This window comes from Homo sapiens, chromosome 16 (assembly GCF_000001405.40).
Source record: "Homo sapiens chromosome 16, GRCh38.p14 Primary Assembly".
Taxonomy (NCBI): domain Eukaryota; kingdom Metazoa; phylum Chordata; class Mammalia; order Primates; family Hominidae; genus Homo; species Homo sapiens.
This window is the reverse complement of record NC_000016.10, coordinates 6,650,212-6,674,597: the sequence shown is the minus strand read 5'-3', so window position 1 is coordinate 6,674,597 and position 24,386 is coordinate 6,650,212. Positions and strand designations below refer to the sequence as shown.

Genomic DNA, 24,386 nt, shown 5'->3' with positions numbered 1-24,386 from the left:
GTAATTCCAACACTTTGGGAGGCTGAGGTGGGTGGATCACTTGAGGTCAGGAGTTCGACACCATCCTGATCAACATGACGAAACCCCGTCTCTACTAAAAATACAAAAATTAGCCGGGCATGGTGACAGGTGCCTATAATCCCAGCTACTCAGGAGACTGGGGCAGGAGAATCAATTTAACCCAGGAGGCGGAGGTTGAGGTGAGCTGAGATCGCACCATTGCACTCCAGCCTGGGCAACAGAGTGAGACTCTGACTCAAAAAAAGAAAAGAAAAAAAAATAAAAATAAAGAACCCAGTCATTGGTTTTACGACTGCTCCAATCCAGGATGACGTCATTTTAACTTGATAACATCTGCAAAGACCCTATCTCTAAATAAATTTACATTCACAGGTATGGGGGTGGGAAAAGCTAGGACTTCAACATATCTTTTCTGGAGGACTCTATTCAACCCACAACAAGGACTTAATACCAATCTTAGCTTAAGCCAATTTGAATGGTGTTTCTATTAGAACCAAGAGAGTGCTGAATCTCCTACTTATTTCCTAGGGTAATCCTAAAATAGGATTCTCTTAACATGTCTCTAAAAGAAGTAATTCCTCCCTCACTGTTTCTCCCTTCCTAGAGTCTCCTTCCTTTGTTCTGGAGGTGTGCAGATCCATTCCACCTGGCCAGTCTTTCAGGATCCTCCCAATATGGCACTTCCTCCAACAAGTGTTTGCTTCTTCTCTTAATATCTGTAACTACTTTTCTCTCTAGCACTGTCTTGGCTATCATTCTCTGTCCAGAAATGTACACCTGCCTTTTTGTGAGTAGGAATATGCGACTTATCTCCATGACAGATGATACATTTCTGTCCTTGCCTTTGTCCATAGCCTCTTCTCTCTGCCAGGCACATGGGTCACAGAACCCATCATGAAGCTGGTCCTCCACCCCGGCAAGTCAGCCCCATATTTCATTACTTTGTGTTCAATACATATCTATATATTTTTTTGACATGGAGTCTCGCTCTGTCTCCCAGGCTTGAGTGCAGTGGCGCAATGTAGGCTCACTACAACCTCCACTCACTGCAACCTCCACCTCCTGGGTTCAGGTGATTCTCCTACCTCAACTTCCCCAGTAGCTGGGATTACAGGCATGCACCACCAGGCCCGACTAATTTTTGTATTTTTAGTAGAGATGCGGTTTTGCCATGTTGACCAGGCTGGTCTCAAACTCCTGACCTCAGGTGATCCACCCACCTAGGCCTCCCAAAGTGCTGGGATTACAGGCATGAGCCACCACGCCTGGCCTCAATACATTTTTGAATGACTGGTACTTGCAACTTCGTACAGGGATATGAGGGACCTTTGGGATCAGAGAGTGGATAGAGAAGACACAGATGGGATGAAGACTACTCTGGAAGGAGCATGGAGACCATAAAATGATGAGCCTGGGAAGTGTAGACATCACTGATCACCTGGAAATTGCACCTCTGTCTGCTATAAGCAAGTGTTGCATTTACGTGACCAATCTCTATTCCAACTCTGGTAAGAAGCACTGTGGTTTTTCTTCAGGGAGCTGTCTTTCCCCTGTTGTGGTTCCATATTGTTAGCATTGCACTGGCTTCATATCAGCACTTCAGGGACTGGGGTACAATTCAGACCAGGTTGATCAACATCCCACACGCCCTTGCCTGGGGTCTAGGGGGATTCAGTTTAGTCAATGGGTCTCTTGGGAAAGGGGGCAAGTGACCCATAACATCAGAGATAGGTCCACCTAAGAAATGGGCTTAAGTTAGGATTACTTGGGAAGAGAAACGATCTTTCTACCAGAACTGTGAATTGGTAGAAGGTATGACTAACACTGCTGATGTCTGCCTCACTGCTTCACAAGGCAAGCCAAACCCAAGAAAAGCAGAAAAGCAGAAGCGGAATCATGGTGGGTGGAGGTTTCCTATGGAATCATTTCAGGACCTGGATCCATGTGTACCTGAAGTCAGTAGTCTTATATGCTTGTTTAAGATTCTGTCACATAAACAGAATTTCTTCTCTTTCTTTTCTTTTCTTTTCTTTCTCCTGTTCTTTCTTTTCTTTTTTCTCCCATCTTCCTTCCTTTCTTCCTCCCTCCCTTTTTCTTTTTTCTTTCCTTCTTTCCTTCCTTTCCTTTCTTTTCTCTTTCTTTTCTTTTTCCTTCCTTCCATCCATCCGTCCTTCCTTTTCTCTCTCTCCTTCTCTCTCTCTTTCTCCCTCTTCTCTCTCTCACTCTCCTCCCTCCCTGCCACCCTTCCCCACCACAATATTTGTATGGTTATTTTATATTGGATGTATATTTATATTGGATGTATATTTCTCCAATGGACTCTAAGCGTTATGGTGGTGGATTATAAGAAATGATTATATTTCAATGACCTTTGTATTTCCAAAAGCTCATAAATAGAAACTAAATAAAAGATAAGTATCTATTTCTAGCTAATGTTACCTTAGCCTCCAATACCAGTATAATTAGGTGAGATGGACCTACGGTCTTTGAAACCGAATGTGATTAACAACTATCGGATGGGTTCACCTATTCCAAATAATGTCAGAAACATTTGGTACAGTGCATAAGTTAACATATGACCAAGCCATTTAAAATCAGCTGTTCGATATTGTTATTTCGCATTATCATCCTATCTACTTAGTAGTCGCAACAGTTTTTAAAGGCAACTTGGCGTGTGAAAAGGCAGTGTGAATGTAAAATGGCACACAAAAATTTCATGAACTCTTATAATTACTGGGATACGCTGATTCGATGGAATACTACTCCGTCATAAAAAGGAATGAATTAATGGCATTCACAGCAACCTGGATGGGACTGGAAACTGTTATTCTAATTGAAGTAACTCAGAAATGGAAAACCAAACATCGTATGTCCTCACTCCTAAGTGGGAGCTAAGCTATGAGGATGCAAAGGCGTAAGAATGATAGAACGGACTTTGGGGACTCAGGCGGAAAGGGTGGGGAGCAGGTGAGGGATAGAAAACTACAAATTGGGTTCAGAAGAGGAATCTGAGATGCAGAAAGACTAAGGAACTTGCCCAAACTCAGTCCTAAATTCCTTCCTAGATGCATCCCAACAGACTTCCCTATTCTTCTATTATGTCTTACTTTCTAATGTTCAAATATCAAATTAATAAAATGATGTTTGAATATGAACATGAATATTTCTCTTTTCCATGCAAATTTTAGACATGGTCAAAATATCTTATAAGATGTGTTTTTATTAAACATTATATCAATTACTATTCCATGGACCTCTGACACAAGTGTATTCATCATTTTTAATAGCCGCATAATACTCTATCATGTTCTGTGCTGAGCATAAGAAGCCATTACCTTAAGATTAAGCATTTAGGTTGTTGCCAATATTTTGACATTGCAAGTAAAATAACAATGGTGGCTCAGTCCAGGTGTCCTTTTGTTTCCATTCGACTGGAATAATAAGAAATAATGAGTAAGATTGGGTCAAAAGAAATAATTATCTGGTTGTTCATACGTATGAGTACTCTGGTTTTTAAATGATTTCTACCAAATTGCAACATACCAAGTAAATAAGGAAACCAGTTTTTTGTTTTTTTGAGATGGAGTCTCGCTCTGTCACCCAGGCTGGAGTGCAGTGGCACGATCTCGGCTCGCTGCAAGCTCCGCCTCCTGGGTTCACGCCTCTCTCCTGCCTCAGCCTCCCAAGTAGCTGGGACTACAGGCTCCCGCCACCATGCCCGGCTAATTTTTTTTTGCATTTTTAGTAGAGACAGGGTTTCACCGTGTTAGCTAGGATGGTCTCGATCTCCTGACCTTGTGATCCACCCAGCTCGGCCTCCCAGAGTGCTGGGATTACAGGCGTGAACCACCGTGCCCGGCCATAAGGAAACCAGTTTTATAGCAACATCACCAATATGGGAAAAGGTAGTATTCTTATTTCATGTTAACCTGGCTAATTTTAGTAGATAGAGATTGGTATATTATATGGTTTTAATTTGCATTTTCATACCACTATCAAGGAAAGGTATTACCGGGTGTTTAAGTCTACTTATGCTTTCTTTGGGGGTATGTTTTCTGTTATATCCTTAGCTCTTCTAATTTTATGATTTCTTTATGAAAACATTCCAGTCATGGGGCAAAATTAAGATTTGTCAACTTATGAATTGGTGAATTCAATCAACATGAAAACTCAATCTGAATAGATCAAATTAAAAATACATATGTTTGTCTGGGAGCAGTGGCTCACCCCTGTAATCCCAGCATTTTGGGAGACCAAGATGGAAGGACTGCTTGAGCTCCGGACTTGGAAGCCAGCCTGGACAACATAGGGAAAACCCCGTCTCTACAAAAATTAAAAAAAAAAACATAGCCAGGCATAACGGTGCACTCCTGTGGTTCCAGCTACTTGGGAAGCTGATGTAGGAGGATCACACTGAGTAAGTACAACATGCCCACTTGGTACTATATAACTACTTGTGCCCAGGAGGGTGAGGTTGCAGTGAGCCATGATCATACCACTGCACTCCAACGTGGACACTAGAGCAAGGCCCTGTCTCAATATATAGAGATAGACAGATAGATAGATAGACAGACAGAGATAGATTTTCCTTACTGTAAGTTAGGGTGCTATTTTGACAGGTGGACTTGAAGTTTGTAAGTTACTCCTTTGACTGGATTCTCCATATACCATGGGTCGGTTACTTAGGATGATAAGTGCCGTCTACCTCCCTGGCTCCATCAGATCTGCCTGCCTGGCTCATGGTGAGCATTTGCTTTTCTACTGTGCTCCCTTAACCAAAAGCTAGAAGTCCTTAAGCTTAGGACCTTTTCTATTCTGAAGGTTCTGTCCTCCAAAGCACCCAGAAAACCTTTCAGTTGAAAAGGAAATACAAAATTTGCTAAGAGGGTAGATCTTAAGTGTTCTCACCACACTCAAACACACACGCAAAAGAAAAGAAACAAAAGAAAAAATAGCAATATATGAGGTGATAGATGTGTTAATTCACTTGATTCTAACGACTTTTTCATAATGTATATGAAAATCAAAACGTCAAGCTGTATATCTTAAACATATAATTTTTACTTGTCAATCATACTGCAATCACTCTGGAAAAAAACAAAGAAAATATGAAAAACCTCTGGTTGATCTGCAAATTCTGATAGCTGTTAGTTTAAGATGGCCACAGTAAAAAGATCACACAGTTTTTATGGCTTTATGCAAAAATAAATCCTAACCCAGAATTGCCCAAAAAGCCTTGTAACTTGATAAAAAGAAGCACAATATAAGAAGTGAATTGGGTGAGTGTGTTCATGTGATAGACAAACGCACACACACGGGCATGGTTTCCCACCCCACCCTTGAATTCTGTTGTTATTGCATCACGTTCCATCACAAATTTTTCCAGCAACCTACTTGCTGAGATGGATGGCATAATCCCTGGGTTTTCTGACCTTGATCAACACGAAGAAAATTTCAGCTGAACCATGCAAAAGTGCTGGGAAAACATAAATCACATTTGGATAGGGCATGCTTTCTATCTAAAGTGTGAAGTCACCCAATCACACATCAAGAAGTGGGATAATAAAACCCACCAACTGAAGAGAAAGAAAAATTAATTAACGTTCACTCCACTCATCACAAAAAAGCCACTGCCATCTTTTTAGAAGAGATGACAGAACAATCTTTGAAAAATAGCTCTGTGCTTGATTAAGCATTTCCTAAATGCATTTTAATTCAGAGTTTAAAGAAAGAAGTTTGCTAAAAATTACACAAAATAGACTTGCTTCTTTTAAGTAAAATAAGTGGCACATGAAAATAATAGCTATAAATAATGATATTAAAATGTAAGCATTTCAGCCCCAATTAATACAAAATTTCAAAGAGATGACAAATATCATCATAGACAAATCACACTTTTAAAATTAAGGCATCAAAACATAACCCTAGTTATATGAGGATGACATCATGTGAATTGCTACCATAATGTAATCAACAGAGAAGGCTTCTCGAGCACCTAGGAAAGGCTAGCTACCCATGCCTGATATAAAGCTCTTATTTGCTAAATTATCTTTAAGCCATGCACTATCCATGAAAATACCAGTGCCTTGTTAAGCTGCAAATCCAAAACATAAGGAAAACAGGCATGCCCCTAAGAACAGAAGCATCTTTGGGCTGAAACACACAACACGTGGCTTTGTATTACTCCTCAGATGCCAGATTCTGTGACAGAAACAACTAAACTATACCTGGCAGGTGCCCTGTGGCTCTCACTCCTCCACCCTTGGCAGGCATCACTAATCAATCATGCACTCTTTCTGGGAGAACCCACATGCCACAATCTCAGACTCCTCATCAACAAGGTGTTCTGTGCCGCCACAATCAATATGACTTGACACCAGAGATTCAATCTGTTTCCAATCCCTGGTCTGCACCTTTACTTATGCTCTCAACTCTATACTCTTTCAGTCAGATTGAGAAGTAGCTACAGGATACACAAAACTCTAGACAGGTAATTGAGGGTTTGGTATCCAGTTTAAGCTTTGTAATTTACTTTGCTATTATCTTAACTTGTCCTAGATGTATACTCTCTGATCTCACTAGGAATCTAAGAAACAGAGTCAAAGATTTAAAAAAGAGTAGGACGAAAGCAGATTTAAGTGTAATAATCAGGCAGCTTGTACTTATTTTTTTTTTCTTTAGTTTTTTAAAGATAGGGTCTTGCTCTGTCACCCAGGCTGGAGTGTGGTGGTACGACTATAGGTCACTGCAGCCTCGAACTCCTGGGCTCCAGAGATCCTTCTCCTTAAGCCATTTGAGTAGCTGGGACTACAGGCACGCACCATCATGCCTAACTATGTGGCTATATTTTTTTCTTCAGTTTTGCAGAAATAGGGTATATGTTGCCTAGGCTCATCTCAAACTCCCGAGCTCAAGTAATCCTCCCACTTGTGTCCAAAAAGCGCTAGGATTCCAGGCATGAGCCACCGTGCCCAGCCAGCTTGCAGTTATTCAAGGTGCATCCTGTGCCTAGCCAAGATGATAAGTACCCTCAGTGTAAGAGCTCATTGAGTCCCATAGTGACCCCAGAAAATATTCTCTCCTCCTCTCCCTTTTATATAAGAGCTTGAGCATCTGAGAGGTTAAATAACCAGGAAGCCACTAAGCTGGGGTTCAAAGCCAGGCCTTTTAGAATCCTAAGCTGAAGCTCTTAGCCACACGATTACACCTGGCATTCTTTAGATGAGCTTCCCAAAGCCAGCTTCAAGGGTGACTGAAGGTGTATGAGACCAATAGCCCGATCTACCTCAGTGCTTTTCATTACACTCTCTGGGTTACCACTGTGTCCATGGCACTGCTGAGGGTGCCCAGCAGCTTCTCATCATCTGTCGTTTAGGTTTCCGGCCCATCAGAGGCTAATTTAACTCAACACCACATTCATTTTAGAAGCTCTGCGTCTTTTTACCTGCCTCCCTCTCCCCCAACCCACCACCACCCTCAAATTTCCCAAAAATAAATGAAAGAGGAAAGTACGACTAACATCTCATTTTCAACGTTTAGTAAAAGAGTTAACCTGTGAATCAAATATAAAAGGCAGGTGCAGAGACCCATCCTAGAGTCAGAAGCCCTTGCCTACAAAAATAACTGTCAGCTGTGCTGGCAAGTGAGGCACTGCTTGGAACCGTGAGCATTTTGATGGTTCTGTGGAGCAGACTCATTGAGGACCCCGAGATAATACCTTAGGCTGAGTAATTGGGAGGAAATTCAATGCAGAGATATATCACAGGATGACATTTAGCAGTGGCCAAGGTTTTTCCTGTTATGTGGAGGGTTTTGTTGCAATAACTCTCGTAAGTCACCGTTTACCTGTGTGTCAGGCCCTGAGCATGAGGAGCACAGAAGGGACGTATTTTCTTCTTCCTGTGAAGCATGCTTGGAAGAGGCAGTACAGCCTAGAGGTTAAGAGTCAAACAAAGACTTCCTGGGTTTGAATCCCACCTCCACAGTTACCACCTGGGTGACCTCAGTGACATGATTTGTTTTTTTTTTTTTTTTTTGGAGACAGAGTCTTACTCTGTCACCCAGGCTGGAGTGCAGTGGTGTGATCTCAGCTGACTGTAACCTCTGCCTTCCAGGTTCAAGTGATTCTCCTAACTCAGCTTCCCGAATAGCATGGCTAGGATTATAGGTGCCCACCACCACACCTGGATACATTTTGTACTTGTGGTAGAGACAAGGGTTTCATCATGTTGGCCAGGCTGGTTTCAAACTCCTGACCTCAGGTGATCCGCCCGCCTAAGCCTCCCAAAGTGCTGGGATTATAGGCATGAGCCACTGTGCCCGGCCTCAGTCACATTCTTCAACTCCTCCTGTATTAGTCTGTTTTCACGCTGCTGATACAGATGTACCTGAGACTGGATAATTTATAAAGAAAGAAAGGTTTAATAGACTCACAGTTCCATGTGGCTGGCAGGTCTCATAACCATGATGGGAGGCAAAAGGCACGTTTTATATGGTGGCAGAGAAAGAATGAAAAACAAGCGAAAGGGGTTTCCTCTTATAAAACCATCAGATCTCGGGAGACTTATTCACTACCATGAGAACAGGGTGGGGGAAACCATACCCATGATTCAATTACCTCCTACCAGGTCCCTCTCACAACATGTGGGAATTATGGGAGCTCCAATTCAAGATGAGATTTGGGTGGGGACGTGGTCAAACCATATCACCTCTTTCCCTCATTTTTCTCATCTGTAACATGGGGATAAATATTGTATCTGTCTTAAAGGATCTTTCTAAGGATTCAATAATAGAATATGCATAAAGTACTAAAAAATGGTCTATGGCATGTAGTAAATCCTCAATGCAAGGTAGTTGCTATTATTATTATTATTTATTTTCCTTTCTGGAAAAAAAATATCAGTCAAGGTTTCATTAGGTGACACTCCCTCCTTCTTCTTTTTTTTTTTTTGGAGATGGAGTTTCACTCTTGTTACCCAGACTGGAATGTGATGGCACAATCTCAGCTCACTGCAATCACCGCCTCCCAGGTTTAAGTGATTCTCCTACCTCAGCCTCCCAAGTAGCTGCGATTACAGGTGCCTGTCACTATGCCTGGCTAATATTTTTTTATATTTTTTATTTTTAGCAGCGATGGGGTTTCACCATGTTGTCCTGGCTGGTCTCCAACTCTTGACCTCAGGTAATCCACCCACCTGGGCCTCCCAAAGGGCTGGCATTATAGGCGTGAGCCACCGTGCCCAGCCCCCTCCCTCATTTTTTAGTCCATTTAAGTCATTTAGCTGGACCCCATCCCACTGCTGGGGTGGCTGAGGGAAGACAAACAAGAGGGACATCGCCCTTTATAGCTAAGTGACACCTCTTAAGCCACATCCAGGAACTTTACTAAGCCACTGAAAAAGAAGCGCCTTTTCTCCACAGGTGGGAGTTAATACAGCTGGTGGTTGCCGTCCTTAGCATCTGGTGAAATTAAAGTACCAGCATCCAGCTATGCTGAAGACAGTCCCACTTTACTCATAACTGTCACTTATTTTTCTCCTTAAGCTAGTCTGACTTCATTTTCTATGACAATTGAAAATGCCCTGACTAATGCGGCACACAAGAACAGTGCATGGGATGCATGATTTACAAACGATGTCTGTCCCTGTTTTATAGACGATGCAGCTGTGGACAGACAGGAATGTGACTTTTCCAAGGTCTGCCAGCTGGTGAAGGGGCAGAACCGGGATTCAACTCCAGATCCGTTTGACTGCAAAACTGTACTACCTTGCCTTTTGAAATAAATTAGGAGGAGTGAACAAAACTGCTGAGGATTTCTTGGCAGCAACCCATCTCCACCAACTGAGTATCTCCAGAACTGACTTCCATCCCTGCCTATCTGTGGGTTCTGAACACGCAATTTCAGACACTGGATTCATAATCTCTGCTATTGCCTGGTCCCCAGTCTCAGTAAAAATGATGTCGAATCTCACTGGTGGTGGGCTACATGCGCAGCTGTCTCTCGCACAGCCCTGCTTCTCAGCAGAGAAAAAGGACACAATGAGATCTACTTGTGGTATATGTATCACATCCTACCAAGATCCCATCCACAAGTTCTTACTGAGCAAAGGAGCTGAGGCAGATCTGTAGATACAAGATGATTTGCTGACGCTAGATGACCGCGCACATTTCTTTGACCAGAGATAGTAGGACCAGGGGTGAGGTGTTGCCCTAAACAACAGGCTGGCTAGTGGCTATGCATTAGTTTGGAATGAGAGCCATGCCCAAGAGGAATGAGGGTTACTAATCTGAAGATGATTGACAGTTTTAGGGAATTTGCATAGGATGTAAAATGCAGAATGAACAGAAAAGCCAAGCGACACAGCAAAAAGCTTTGCTGGTGTTAGATCTCTTTGTCCCATTCCTTGGCTAGAGATGGCTGGACCAGAAGGGAACTGACAGAAGTCTGAAAGGTCATACATAAACATGATCTATGAGCAAGTAGACTCTATAAGACAAAGAAACTGTCTTTACACACCTGACCATTTCTCATGGTGATATCACAGTCCATGTGACACAGATTTCATTCTATATTAAAGGACATAATACTCTTCCTGGTCAAAAGGTTTCAGGTGGATTAGCCTTTGCCTGCTTTGAGCTTTATCTCTAGCCACTTTTCCCACTGCTGCCTGAGCCCCAGCTACACTGACGTGTATTCAGTTCCTTAGTCATGCCATGCTCAACCTCCAGACTCCCTCCTCTGCACCTGGCCCAGGATGCTCTCCACCCCATCTCCCTTCAGACTCAAACTTAAATACCCTTTCTCAGGGATGCTCTAATTTTCATTTCCAAAGATTCCAGGAATTTTGGAGCTTCTTCCATTTTAATGTATATGCCTAACGGCCTTAAACAAAGGACATTGGAAACAGAAAAGAAATCCAATCCCCAGGGGACTCTGTGAGTCTCATCCAGATGGGCGCTCACAGCAGCCTCTGCCCTTATGTGCCTTAAGTATCTTCGCTTTGGTCTTTGAAGGGAAACTCCTTCATGAATACTCCCCATTCTAGAAAGAGGCCCTTCCAGGAAGGAGTGAACCTTCTCCCATGTCTTTGTTCTGCTATCAGAAGTGCACAGATCTAGTCCACTCCTACTCCCAGGGGCAAGAGACTGGCACTAATAGAAACAAATCCTGCTGGCTATGTCATGCTCATATGCAACCTCACTGGCATATAAGCCCTAAACCAGGAGATCAATCCATTGTCAGTGTTGATCAACTCCTTTCTTCTTCCTCACGGCAGCAAACTATATACAAATACTTAAGCTGAGCCGTCTGTGACAAGTTCCTGGGTGGAGACATTCATGACACCCATCCATTGTCAGTAAGTCATGTGGATAGGACTTATCCAGTCTCTTGAAAATGCAAACCTTCCTCCTCCCCATCTCCTACATGGCTCTAGTTCAGACCCATCCTCCAGTCTGCCTTCCACCCTGTACTCCTGTATCCATCCCTGCCCACTTCTGGTTCCCTCCTGCACACAAGGAGAGTTTGAAACTTACAAAATGCAAACAAGAAACTCTCCCCTGAATGCAAACCCACCAGTAGAAAACAGTGTTTCCTACACTTCAGTTATGTGCGATCCATACTCACAATTTTTACACATCCATGTGCTTTTCTTTAAATTGTTTCTGTTCTCAATAAATGTTTTACGAGTCTATGGGAGTATTTGTTTTAAAGAAAAGAAATAGCTCGTTGAAGTAAACAGAAAGAGCAGAAAGAACAGTATTTTTTTTGTCATATGTAGAAAGTAACTCTAATGCAAAAGTAAAACACTGTCATTCGGTTATAGCCAGATGCCAGAATTGCCTGTCAGGGGCTCTGGGTCTCTTGGTCAAAAAGGTAGATGATCAAATGTTTGAGTCTTTTAGGTTTTTTTTCTTTTTTTTTTAACCAACCACCAAATTATGTCTTTGATGTAGTCTCAAGGTCTGAGAAATAGTTGACAAGGAAATAACTTCCCTACTACGTGATTTGATACCATATCCATGAACTGCCTGAAGGTACCTCATTTGCCACCTGAAATCTAATCTAAGTGTTTCAACACTTGTACAATACCGGCCTGCAGGAAAATGTGTTCCTCTTCTATTCCACATCTCTCTTTTTCTCCCTAACTGTATTGAGATAAAACTGAAAAACAAAAATTGCATATATTTAACAGATACAATGTGACCTTTTGATACATGTGTATATCATGAAATGATTACTACTACCAAGCTAATTAACATATCCATCATCTCACAGACTTGTGTGTGTGTGAGAACAGTTGAGATCTACTCTCTTACCGCATTTCAAGTCTAAAACACATTAATTAAACTCTCATCACTGTGCTGTACATTAGTTATCTATAACTTAATCTGATGATGAGGGTTTGTATCCTTTGACCAAGATCCTCCCTTTTTTTTCACCCCGCCCCCAGCCCTCGGCAACCACCATCCTACTCTCTGCTTCTTTGAGTTTCACTTTCTTAGATTCCAGGTAAAAGTGAGCTCATGTAGTATTTGCCTTTCTGTGTGTGGCTTACTTCACTTCACCTAATGTCCTCTAGGTTCATCTATCTTGTTGCACATGGCAGGATTTCCCTTCGTTTCAATGGCTAAATAATATTCCATTGTAGAACTCCCATGATGTTAAAATGGATATTCTCATATATCCTTATAGCCATTATGCACAACAGTATAGAGGTCCTTCAAAAAATTAGAAGTTGAACTACCAAATAATCCAGGCATCCCGCCGCTAAATCAACATTTCAAAGAGACAGTTGCATTCCCATGTTCATTCTGTCACACATCACAAGGAAGGGGCAACCCAGCCCTGTGATTTCTCAGGGTCCTGGCTGACTTCGTCTTGCTCGAATCAAAGTGTTCAGCTTCCTGCATTCACCCAGGGCCAGTCTCTGGGTCTTTCTCTGGGCTCCAACCCCAGTTCTTATTCCCCTGCTGACTTTCACTTTGGCTGGGTTCTTCATACTAGTTTAAGTACCTTCTTGGTGCTGTGTAACTCTGGCCCCATACAGTAAAGATTTGCCTTCTGTGGGGACAGAGGATTGACACAGAACCCTAATGCATTGGCCTGATAAACTATTCCCTCCATAACCTGCTACCTACTCACTGCTGTAGTCTCTCCTTTAGCCAATCTCAGACACACACACTGGACTTGCATTCGCCATAAACATACCATGTTCTCTACACCGTCTTGTCCTCGCCATTCTGTTCCCTCTGCCAGGAGGGCCTTTCATAGACCGACAGAGCCTGGAATTAGGCACATGGGAGCTCTTTCTAACCCACTGAGAGTTAGCTTTCAACACTCAAGTCTTGTAAGTCTCTTGAAACTTTTCTGCATGTGTGCTTCATTTGGATTGCTCATAGTAAGTAAAAAATCAGTGGTATTACAGGAAAATTCAGATTGGCTTAGAAAACAGCAATACTGAATCTATATTCCACATGGCCACATTTAGCTGAATAACAGCTCCCAAGATATGAAGGTATCACCTTCCAGGTCGCTGCAGTACATAGGACTTCACGTTAAAGACAATCACTCCTCTGCCTCTTCATTAATTCATTATTTCCTACCTGGACTTGGCAGGCAGGTGCATTTGTATTTCCTGACCTACACCAAGGATCCTCTTCCTTTGTGAAATATTTCCAAGGCCTACTAGGTCCCATTGGTTGCATACTCCCCTGAGATCCCCTAACACTTTCCAGGGCCTCATTTGATAAAATAAATGTAATTATAAATGACATGGTAGGCCTGTAGGTGTGGATACCAGCAAAAATAAAAATAACCGCAGCTACAGTTAATCCAGTTCTTATTTTGTGCCAGGTATTATATAAAATGATTTGCAGTATTATGAATTTCTCAAGCCAATATTTCAAGCAGATTGTATCACTCCCAATTTAAAGATAAGCAGATGAAGATATATACAGGGTAAGAAAGCTTCTCAAGGTCACAGAGTTGCTATTTGGGAGGGCTGGGATTGAAACCCAGACATTTCAAGCTCCAAAGGCTATGTACAGACTCTGGAGTAAGAATCTCTGAGCTCAAATCGTGGCCTCATGATACGTCCTGAATAATCCTGGGCAAGTGACTTAATTTGTCTGAGCTACTAACCATTACCTATGCAAGAATTACTTTTTTATGTTTATTTTTAGTTCTGGGGTACATGTGCGGGATGTGCAGGTTTGTTATATAAGTAATCGTGTGTCATAGTGGTTGGCTGCACCTATCAATCCATCACCAAGGTATTAAGCCCAGCATGCATTAGCTATTTTCCGTAATACTCTTTAAGCAAGAATTTCTTGCTTTTTTTTTTTTTTTTTAAGATGAAGTCTCACTCTTATTGCCCAGGCTGAAGGGCAATGGCGAGATCTCAGCTCACTGCAACCTCTGCCTCCCAGGTTCAAGCAATTCTCCACCTCAGCTTCCCAAGTAGCTGTGACTACAGGCGTGTGCCACCACACCCAGGAAATTTTTGTATTTGTGGTAGAGATGATGTTTCACTATGTTGGCCATGGTGGTCTCGAACTCCTGATCTTGGAGGCCGCCTCACCCTCCAAAAGTGCTGGGATTACAGGCATGAGCCACAGTGCCCAGCCTCCCTAATACTCTTTAAGCAATAATTTCTAACCCGTGTATCTACTCTGCTGAAATTGCCAAACCTAGGAACCGAATCAGGTCTTTGGAAACTGAGGTCAGCACTCCAGTTCCAGTGCTACTGTCCCTCACCCTCAAAGCCAGAAGACATCTGACCACCCCACTGTTGGGTGCCAACTACTTCCCGGAAGGGCAGGCTTGTAAACACTGTGAAGAATCCTCACTGTGAACCAGCTAGAGCTGCAATGTGGGAGCTGAAAGCCTGCCCCATATTGAAAACCGCAAGCAGGGTAGTATTGAAACTAAGAGGACAGACTCTGGAGTAAGAATCTCTGAGCTTAAATCCTGGTCTCATGCTTGAGTGATCTCAGGCAAGTCACTTAAATGTGCCTGAGCTTCCTTTATTTTACCTGTAAAACAGGGAAAATGATGGTACTTCCACACCACAACTGTTTTAAGTATTCGGCGGTACTTAAGATACCTGATCTGGAAGAAGTATTGTAAAAAGATGAGTTCAGAACTCTCAGTGTTAACCACAGCACGAAAGCTATCTCCCAATCGCACCTTCAATTGGACCCAATCTGAAAGTCGCCATAACTTGGAAAACCACTCAAACTCCTTTCATGCAATTTTATAGCAGATCTGAAACTGTTTAGCTGCACCAGGCCAGGCGATAAGTGAGAAGAGGAAGCCCTGTCTGTGTTTATAAAATGGGCTCTCGTCTCCTCTTGACAGATTCTCCCCCTGACTGATCCATCAGCCTCTCCTCTCATCACCTGAATCTCAGTCTTTATAATAGTATTGAAATTCAGGTGGATTTTACACCACAAATAAAAATGAATTTAAATGCTTCAGTGCCCCAGCAGAAACACAGGTACTGTAAATGTCAAACGCATCGGGTTTTGTGAGGCCATACAGCCACTCCAAGTGATGGGTTACCTCCCGTCACCTTTGCTAAATCTGCATTAGCTCCACAACGTTCACCTGCAGGAGGAAAAAAAAAAACAAAAAAAACAAAAAAACCAAAAAACAAAAAAACAAAAAACCTGTGCTCCTGCTTCCTATTAAAGGGTGAAAAACTCCACCATCCCTTAGGATCTCCCTAGGACACCCTCTGAGAGAGTTTAAGCAATGGCCAGGAACCATCCAAGCAGGTACATTCATAGGGGCTCTGCTAATTGGCGGGCTTGGAAGCGAAAGAAAAACATAAAGCCACACTCCAATACACATTATGAATTTCCCCATAAACAGCCAGGCAAGGTTTTCCAAATGGCAATTAGTTTCCTGTCAGCCTGAGAGAAAATAGGCTTCTGGGATAAAGAAAAATAGAAAAACAGGAGAGGATAAAAATTCTTTTATTCTATGAAGAGTCTCAGATCGAGCCCAGACTGTGCGCAGATAAAGAAGAATGATTTTATTGCTCTACAACAAGATGAGGGCTCTCGGCCGGGTGTGGTGGCTCATGCCTGTAATCCCAGCACTTTGGGAGGCTGAAGCAGGCGGATCACGAGGTCAGGAGTTCAAGATCATCCTGGCCAACATGGTAAAACCCCACCTCTACTAAGAATACAAAAATTAGCCAGGCAGGAGGCTGAGGCAGGAGAATCGCTTGAACCCGGGAGGCGGAGGTTGCAATGAGCTGAGATCACGATCACACCACTGCAATCCAGATTTGAGACAGAGGGAGACTGTTAAAAAAAAAAAAAAATGAAGGCTCTCTTCCACTGTTGAAATTCACAGTTTATCTTCTATCATGATATGTGGTCTAAGATTCAGTGGGAAAATCATTCATCTCAAGATAATCGGCCCCATTGAAAGGAAGAGAATGGGAATGAGGCACAATTTGGAGAGGCCCCGTAGGACTCCATGGAAAACCTAAGGTTTTGTCTTTTCTAAAATTCTTCTATCAAGAAGATATTCAACAATATACATAGCTATAAATCGAGGTACACAAATATATCCATATATGTGGAATATCTGGAAACGAAGTAGACAGAAAGCCAGGGGAGGTGAAAGAAAAATAAAAAATAATAAAAAATAAAGTGATTCTTGAGAAGCCATCACATCCTATAGGGGTTCTGTGAAGCTCCCTTAACTAAAGTAAAATAAAATAAAATAAAATAAAAAGAGCTTTAAAGAAAGCACCACCAGTTCTCTTTCAGAGCTCTCAACAGTCGTAAAAATCCACATAGGCCAAGAGGCTGCCGCTTCAGAGACAGGTTTACTTATTATTTTGGCACCTCTGCCATCTCTTGTCACTTCAATTCCACTTTATCAAATTACTGATTTTGCCAGAAGCATTTGGGTTAAATGGAGAGGGACATGCACACACACACGTGCGTGAGCAACTGTCATCACTCCAGTGGTGAAATTTCCTAAACAACCCATCAGTGTGGCAGAGGCACCAGAGTGCACTCCCAGAACCTGACGGCAATCACTCTGGCTGCCACAGCCAATGGCTCCCTGTGTGGCCTCACACCATATCACCAAGCAGAGAGGGAGGGGGATGGAGCTGTTCTGCTGGGGTGAGGGGCACGCCGTCCCTCAGGGATCATTAGCGTTTGCTTCTTGACTGTTCAATTAAGAGAAATGTCTCCCATATATAAAGCAAGCTCCTAAAACCTCACTCCCAATCTCTTCTTAACAATTGTTAGAAACAGAGAAACTATAGCGTGAGTATAAGATTCACTGTATTACTGGGAATTTGAAGGAAGGAAAAAGAAGGAAGGAAGGAGGGAGGAAGGAAGACGAGAAAGTGGGAAGGAAAGGAGGAGAGAAAAAGGGAAGGAGGAAAAGAGGAGAGAAGAGGAGAGAAGAGGAGAGGAGAGGAGAGGAGAGGGGAGGAGAGGAGAGTAAAGGGGAGGAGAGGAAAGGGGAGGAGAGGAGAGGAAAGGGGAGGAGAGGAGAGGAAAGGGGAGGACAGGAGAGGAAAGGGGAGGAGAGGAGAGGAAAGGGGAGGAGAGGAGAGGAAAGGGGAGGAGAGGAGAGGAAAGGGGAGGAGAGGAAAGGGGAGGAGAGGGGAGGAGAGGAGAGGGGAGGAGAGGAGAGTTGAGGGGAGGAGAGGAGAGGAGAGGAGTTACCTTGTTTAAAAGACTCTTTTTTAAAAAAAGTCCTTAGAGAGTAAGACACTGAGAATTTTAACTGGGCATTATTTTTTCTTATCACTAAGATGCATCACCAATTAACTGCAACAAATTGTTTAGAAATTTATCTATCAGTCATATGAGGTCAAGTTTAGAAAAAAATGGGAAAACTCATCAGAAACAAGGCTTCATTTGACATTATTGACTCAATCCAACAATTTATGAAAAAACTAGAAGTGTGTGTGTGTGTGTGTGTGTGTGTGTGTGTCTATTTTCCCCTTTCTTGAGAAGAGCTGAAATCACATATGCACAGTATGACCATTAATGACTTTTTCCCACCAAGATGCATCACAGAGTAGCCAGAAACCAGGGCAGTTGCCATCATCATGATGTCTTAACCAAAGGCAGTTCACATAGGTGGAGTGGAGCTTGGGTGACTCTCCTTGCCCAGAGCTTACCCTGCCTGCTTATTTACCTTGTGCGTGATGGAGCTCAGGTTGTTCTAACAGCATCAGTTCCTATGTTATCTTTCAAGCACTATTGGCAATTAAATTTTTAAAAAAGATACCGGACAAAACATGTTGATGAATTCCATAAAAGTCCAAGAGAAATGCCAATGACCTTTGGAAGCAGGTTGGGGAACATGCTTTCTAAACACTCTGACATGAGCGGAATGATTCGGCTGGGCAGAACATTGGTAGAAGACTTTGGACACACGCTTCACCTAAGCAGCAATTCCATCTGTCCAACTCACTAAATGCACACATGCATATACCAGCATGCAAACACATGGTGAATGCAAACATGAATTGAAATTCCTTTGCCAGCAAACTAGAGCAACACAAAACTGCAAGCTGGGATCACGCAGATTGAATTGAACTTACTGTATCATTATTCTTCCCAATGTGAGGAGATTAACACTCCCTAAAATAATGTGTGGCAACTGCTTTTTATTTAAAAGCAAATTTTTGTTTTGAGAAGTCCTCCACCACCTTATTAATCAGCAGACATGCCCCAGTCATGATACAATCAGAGCTGAAAACCTCTGCTTGAAATAATAACCCATTTGACAATAATGGTACACTTGAAAGGAGAAACATCTTTCAAACTTGTGGAACGATGTCAAAAGTAGCCAGGAGGTATGTACTCTTAACTTGCTTATTTGACCTCTTTGGATCCAAGGCATACACAGGGTAAAATCTGATCTTCTTGGATGTGCTTTGCTGCAGAAATGTCTGTGAACTCTTGTCAATAAAAAGAGACTGTGAAAATATTAACAAACAATTGTCTAACGGTTGCTTTTCCTGAGGGGATTCACATTAAGTGTAGCAAAGAAGATAAATGGGTGAGGGGACTCTAAATATGTAGAAAATGGCATTGCCCCCTACCCCCTTAATCTCAGATAGGACGCTGTTGCTCATATGAATGTGTTGATGTGTTGTGATGGAAATTGAGCGCGAGCTCTTTTTTTTTTTTTTTTTTTTTTTTTTTTTTGAAACGGAGGCTTATTTTGTCACTCAGGCTGGAGTGCGCTGGTGCAATTTTGGCTCACTGCAGTCTCCACCTCCAAGGATCAAGTGATTCTCCTGCCTCAGCCTCCCAAGTAGCTGGGATTACAGGCATGTGCCACCACACCCGGCTAATTTTTCTATTTTTAGTAGATACGGGGTTTCCCCATGTTGGCCAGGTTGGTCTCTAACTCCTGACCTCAGATGATCCACCCACCTCTGCCTCCCAAAGTGTTGGGATTATAGGCATGAGCCACCACACCTGGCCGTGAGCTCTTTTTCAAGTGTATGAGTCAGATATATAGGGACACACCCTGGGAAGCCTAATATTATATATTCTATAATGTAAGTAATAATATAATTAATTATACATATGATACACACAATGAACGTCAACATCAATATTCAAGTTCAATGTGACAAGTGTTAAAGTATTTTCCTGAAAAGAAGGGTATGACTGAAACAGAAATCAGCACCACATTTTTTGTAAAAAATTACAATATGCACTCCTCATGAAGCCATCAGAAGTAACACAGATTGTAAAGGAGTAAAATGACAAGCATTTTTAAGTCTGATTGTCTTTAAATATGTCATAGACCGTGAATCACCTAAAAACCATCATCGAGAGGGGCATGCCTTAAACACCTGGGTTCAATTCACAGAGTTCTTGTTTTGTTTGCAACCCTAAAAATGAAAAATATTGACTCACCTTTCTGTCTTCTATTTCCACGCAGGTATTGCAGTCTGCTTTGATATCCTGAGAAGAGAAGAAAAGAAAGGAAAGTGAGAGAAAGAACAGGAGTCAGACTTATGGTCAGAGAACATTCAGTGGTGTTGTTGAAATGCCCTTTAAAATAATAAAGAGCTCATGCTCCTAATAGTTCTTTCTCGAGTCATTGCTCTTTATAGTGCTTTTTAAAGGTACATACTGCGGTGTTTGCATTAGAGACATATGTATCTCATAAGTAAGTTTTATTACATGCAGATGTGGAATGTAGGCAAAGGCTATGGATCAGAGGTCACAGCAAAGAGGAACTGATAGCTCATAAAATAATCTGCCCTCCATACAATTGTTCACATCAGCAGAGACTGCCTTTAATATCTCTCCCATTCAAAATTTAGGATAGTCAGATATGTCTCACTTCAACACAAATTATCAGGATCTATTTTTTATCCTTCCAACCATCCAACCATCCATCCATTCATCTCCTCTCCATTCATTCATTGGTCCTCTACCCATCCATCCATCCACCCAAACAGCCATGCCCATTGATCTAATCATCCATTCATCCTGCATCCTTCCCCTATCCATCCACCCATCTATCCATTCATTGACCCACCCACCCTTCCTCTATCCATCCATCCATCCATCCATCCATCCATCCATCCGTCCAACCATCCATCCTTCATCCACCCTCTATCCATCAATCATCTACACACTCGCCCATCCACCCAAATTCATCTTTTTATCCATTCATCCATCCAGCTATCCACCCAGCCATCCCCATCTATCCAATCATCCATCTATCCTGCATCCTTCTCCCATTCATCCGTCTACTCATCCATCCATCCACCCACCTATCCATCCATCCACCCATTCATCTACCCACCCATCCATCCATCTATCCATCCTCTATCCACTCATCTATTCATCCATCTTTCCTTCCTTCATCTACCCTCCATTCATCCCTCCACCCACCCATTCATCCATCCATCCATTCATCCATCCATCCACCCATCCATCTACCATTCCACTCATCCACTCATTCATATTTATTGCACACCTATGATTTTCTGCTATTTTCTTGTTGTCCTGGTACGAAAAGGTGAAACAAACATAATTCCTACCCTCAGGGAACTCATTAATTAGACAAAATGACAGACACAGTCCCACAAGCAATAGTGGCATTAACTTATTCAAATGGAAGATATTTCTTTAGCAACTCTTGGCTGCTAGACCTTGCACTAGGCATGGAGGACTCAACAATGTAGAAGACACATGGCAGGCCCGCCCTGGTGATGCTTACATTCTTCTGGACAAGACAAGCATTAAACCATGCATATCACTTAATGGTATTCCAGAAAGAATATGTACTATGAAGAAAAATAAACCAAGGAGAAGGGGGTGGGAAATGCTGAGGGTAGGGGAATACGATGTTGATGTTGATTTTTTTGAAAAAGTGGCAATTGAGAAAAGGCTTGAAGGAAGTTAGGGGGATGAGCCAAGTAGCCCACTGGGGAAGAGAACATCCCAGGCAAACGAAGAGCAAGTTCAAAGCCCCAAGGGGGAAATGCACTGGAAAGAGCCAAGCAAGAGGAAGGAGGCCACTGTGGTTAGAGGGAAGTAAGAGAGGAAAATAAAGGGGAATGAGATCACAGGGAGATGTTTACTTTATTTTGAGATCAGTGAGAAACCACTCAGAGTTTTATTACCTTATTGTGATAAAATACAATATCATTAACAATTTTACCATGGTAGGTGCACAGTTCTGGGGCATTACCCATACAAACTGTTGTGCAACCATCACCACCCTCCATCTCCAGAATTTTTTCATTTTTCCACCTGTACCCATTAAACAATAACTCTTCACTTCCCCTCCCAGAGCCCCTGAAAACCACCTTCTGCTTTCTGTCTCTGTGGATTTTGCTACTCTAGACTCCTCTCATTGTATGAGTCGGCTAGGAATGCCATAAAAAATATTACAGACTAGGTGACTTCAACGACTGAAGTTTATTTTCTTAGAGTTCTACAGGTGGAAGTTCAAGGTCAAGGCTCTCTCAGGGTTCCTGGTGAGGTCCCTCTTCCTGGCTTGTAGATGCCTCCTTCTCATGGTGCCTCACATAGCTGCTGCTCTATACTTTCTGAGAGAGAGAGAAAGGGAGACAGACCCATGGCTTTTTTTTTTCTTTCCTGAGATGGAGTCTAGCTCTGTCGCCAGACTGGAGTGCAGTGGCGAGATCTTGGCTCACTGCAACCTCCACCTCCCAGGTTCAAGTGATTCTTCTGCCTCAGCCTCCCGAGTAGCTGGGACTACCGACATGCACCACAACCCCCAACTAATTTTGTATTTTTAGTAGAGATGGGATTTCACCATATTGGCCAGGATGCTCTCGATCTCTTGACCTAGTGATCTGCCCGCCTCGCCCTCCCAAAGTGCTGGGATTACAGGTGTGAGCCACCGTAAGGTGTGGCCATCTTTCTTTTAAGGCCACCAATCCTATTGGATTAAGACCCCACCCTTATGACATCACTTAACCTGAATTACCTCCCTAAAGGACTAATCTCCAAAACACAATCACATTGGAAGTTACGACTTCAGTATATGAATTTTACAGTTATACAATTGAGGACTTAACACTTGCTTAAGTGGAATCATACAACATTTGTCCTTCTGTGCCTGGCTTATTTCACTTAGCATAATGTCTTCAAGGTTCATCCATGTGGTAGCATGTGTTAGAATTTCATTCTTATTAAGGATGAATAACATTGCATTGTATGGAGAGACCACATTTGGTTTATCCATTCATAAGCGCCATCTGTGGATAGATATTTGGGCTGTTTCCACCTTTCGGCTATTGTGAATGATGCTGCTATGAACACGGGTGTGTACGTATCTATTCAACTCCCTGCTTTCAAGTCTTTTGTGCGTATGCCCAGAAGTGAGATTGCCAAACCCTATGGTAATTCAATGTTTCATTTTTTGAGGAACCACCCTACCGTTTTCCACAGCAGGTGCACCATTTTACATCCCCACTAACAGTGCACAAGTGTTCCAATCTGTCCACATCCTCATGGGCACTTGTGGGTTTCACTCAGGCATAATGAAGAGAGGACAGGCATGATCTGACTTCTATTTTAACAGAACCGGCAGTCAGGGGTTACAAATTTAAGTAGGGAGAAAAATTTGGGGGCTACCACAGGAGTCCAGGTGTGACATGATGGTGGATGGATAAGGGTGTAGCAGGGGAAGGGGAGAGAAGTAGTCAGAGGCCAGATAAAATCAATGGGACGTCTTTAAAGAAAGGATACAGCTTGGGAGAGAAAGATGGCGACCTGGGGCCGTTGCACGGTCTGTAGCCTGGCCATGCTCTCCATGGAGGCAGGGAGGGCATGGATGTGCAGGGTTGTGTAGGGAGTTACAAACATTAGGGGTTCCAGGCCGGGTGTGGTGGCTCACGCCTGCAATCCCAGCACTCTGGGAGACTGAGGCGGGTGGATCACCTGAGGTCAGGTGTTTGAGATCAGCCTGGCTAATATGGTGAAACTCCATCTCCACTAAACATACAGAATTAGCTGGGCTTGTTGGTGCACGCCTGTAATCCCAGCTACTCAGGAGGCTGAGACAAGAGAATCACTTGAACCGGGAAGGCGGAGGATGCAGTAAGCCGGGATCATGCCATTGCACTTCAGCCTGGGCAACGAAGTGAGACTCTGTTTCCAAAAAACAACCAACCAATCAATTAAACAACCAAAAAACATTAGGGACTCCATTGTGGTTAAGTCTACAGAAATGTTGATTTTCTCACCAAGAGGCAGTGGGGTTTTCTCTGCGGATGCATCATTAGGAAAGGTTAATATGAGAAGCTGGTGATTTATTAGTAAACACAGCAAATTCTAGGTCCCTTTGAATCCAGAGTGGAACAAAAAGAGACAATATCATAAGGTGAAGACTCGTATAGCAAATATCTTGTTTTATGTAGAACAGACTGTTTTCCTATCAGTCAAGTGGGACTGAACCGGTGAGCAATGATTAAATACCTCTTTCGTGCCAGGAACTGTGCTTGGTGTTTTTCGTACTGTCTCTAAATTACCAACATTCGACAAAGTGGGTATTCCTTAGTTACTCTGTGGCATGATAATTGTGATTAGCCATTAGGTAACTCATACTGAATCACACAATGAGGGAGCTTAAATCTGTAACCAGAAGTGATCCCTCATCAGGTGCTTTCCCTTTCCTCCAGGTAATTTTATTTTCCTCAAGGTGGTTTGGTCAGTCCACATAATTTATCCACAGGTTTCATTCTTTTCCTTGCTATGGGAAGAAGGGGTTATTCACAGCAAAAAAAGAAAAAAATAAATAAAAATAAAACCAAGCAACCAAACAAAAAAACCTGGAGAAGCAAGGTACATGTGCTTCTCAAAGTGAG

At 42.6% G+C, this 24,386-nt stretch overlaps 1 protein-coding gene across 28 annotated transcripts in view; it reads right to left on the bottom strand.

The window, feature by feature from the left end:
• The window catches only part of RBFOX1 (RNA binding fox-1 homolog 1), a 2,473,620-nt gene that overhangs the window by 1,038,743 nt on the left and 1,410,491 nt on the right, over positions 1 to 24,386 (bottom strand). For all 28 annotated transcript variants that reach the window (NM_001415887.1, NM_001415888.1, XM_017023318.3 and 25 more), the window contains one exon: positions 19,948 to 19,995. In NM_001415887.1, coding sequence (NP_001402816.1) covers positions 19,948 to 19,995 — 48 coding nt within the window. The remainder of the gene's footprint in view (positions 1 to 19,947; positions 19,996 to 24,386) is intronic.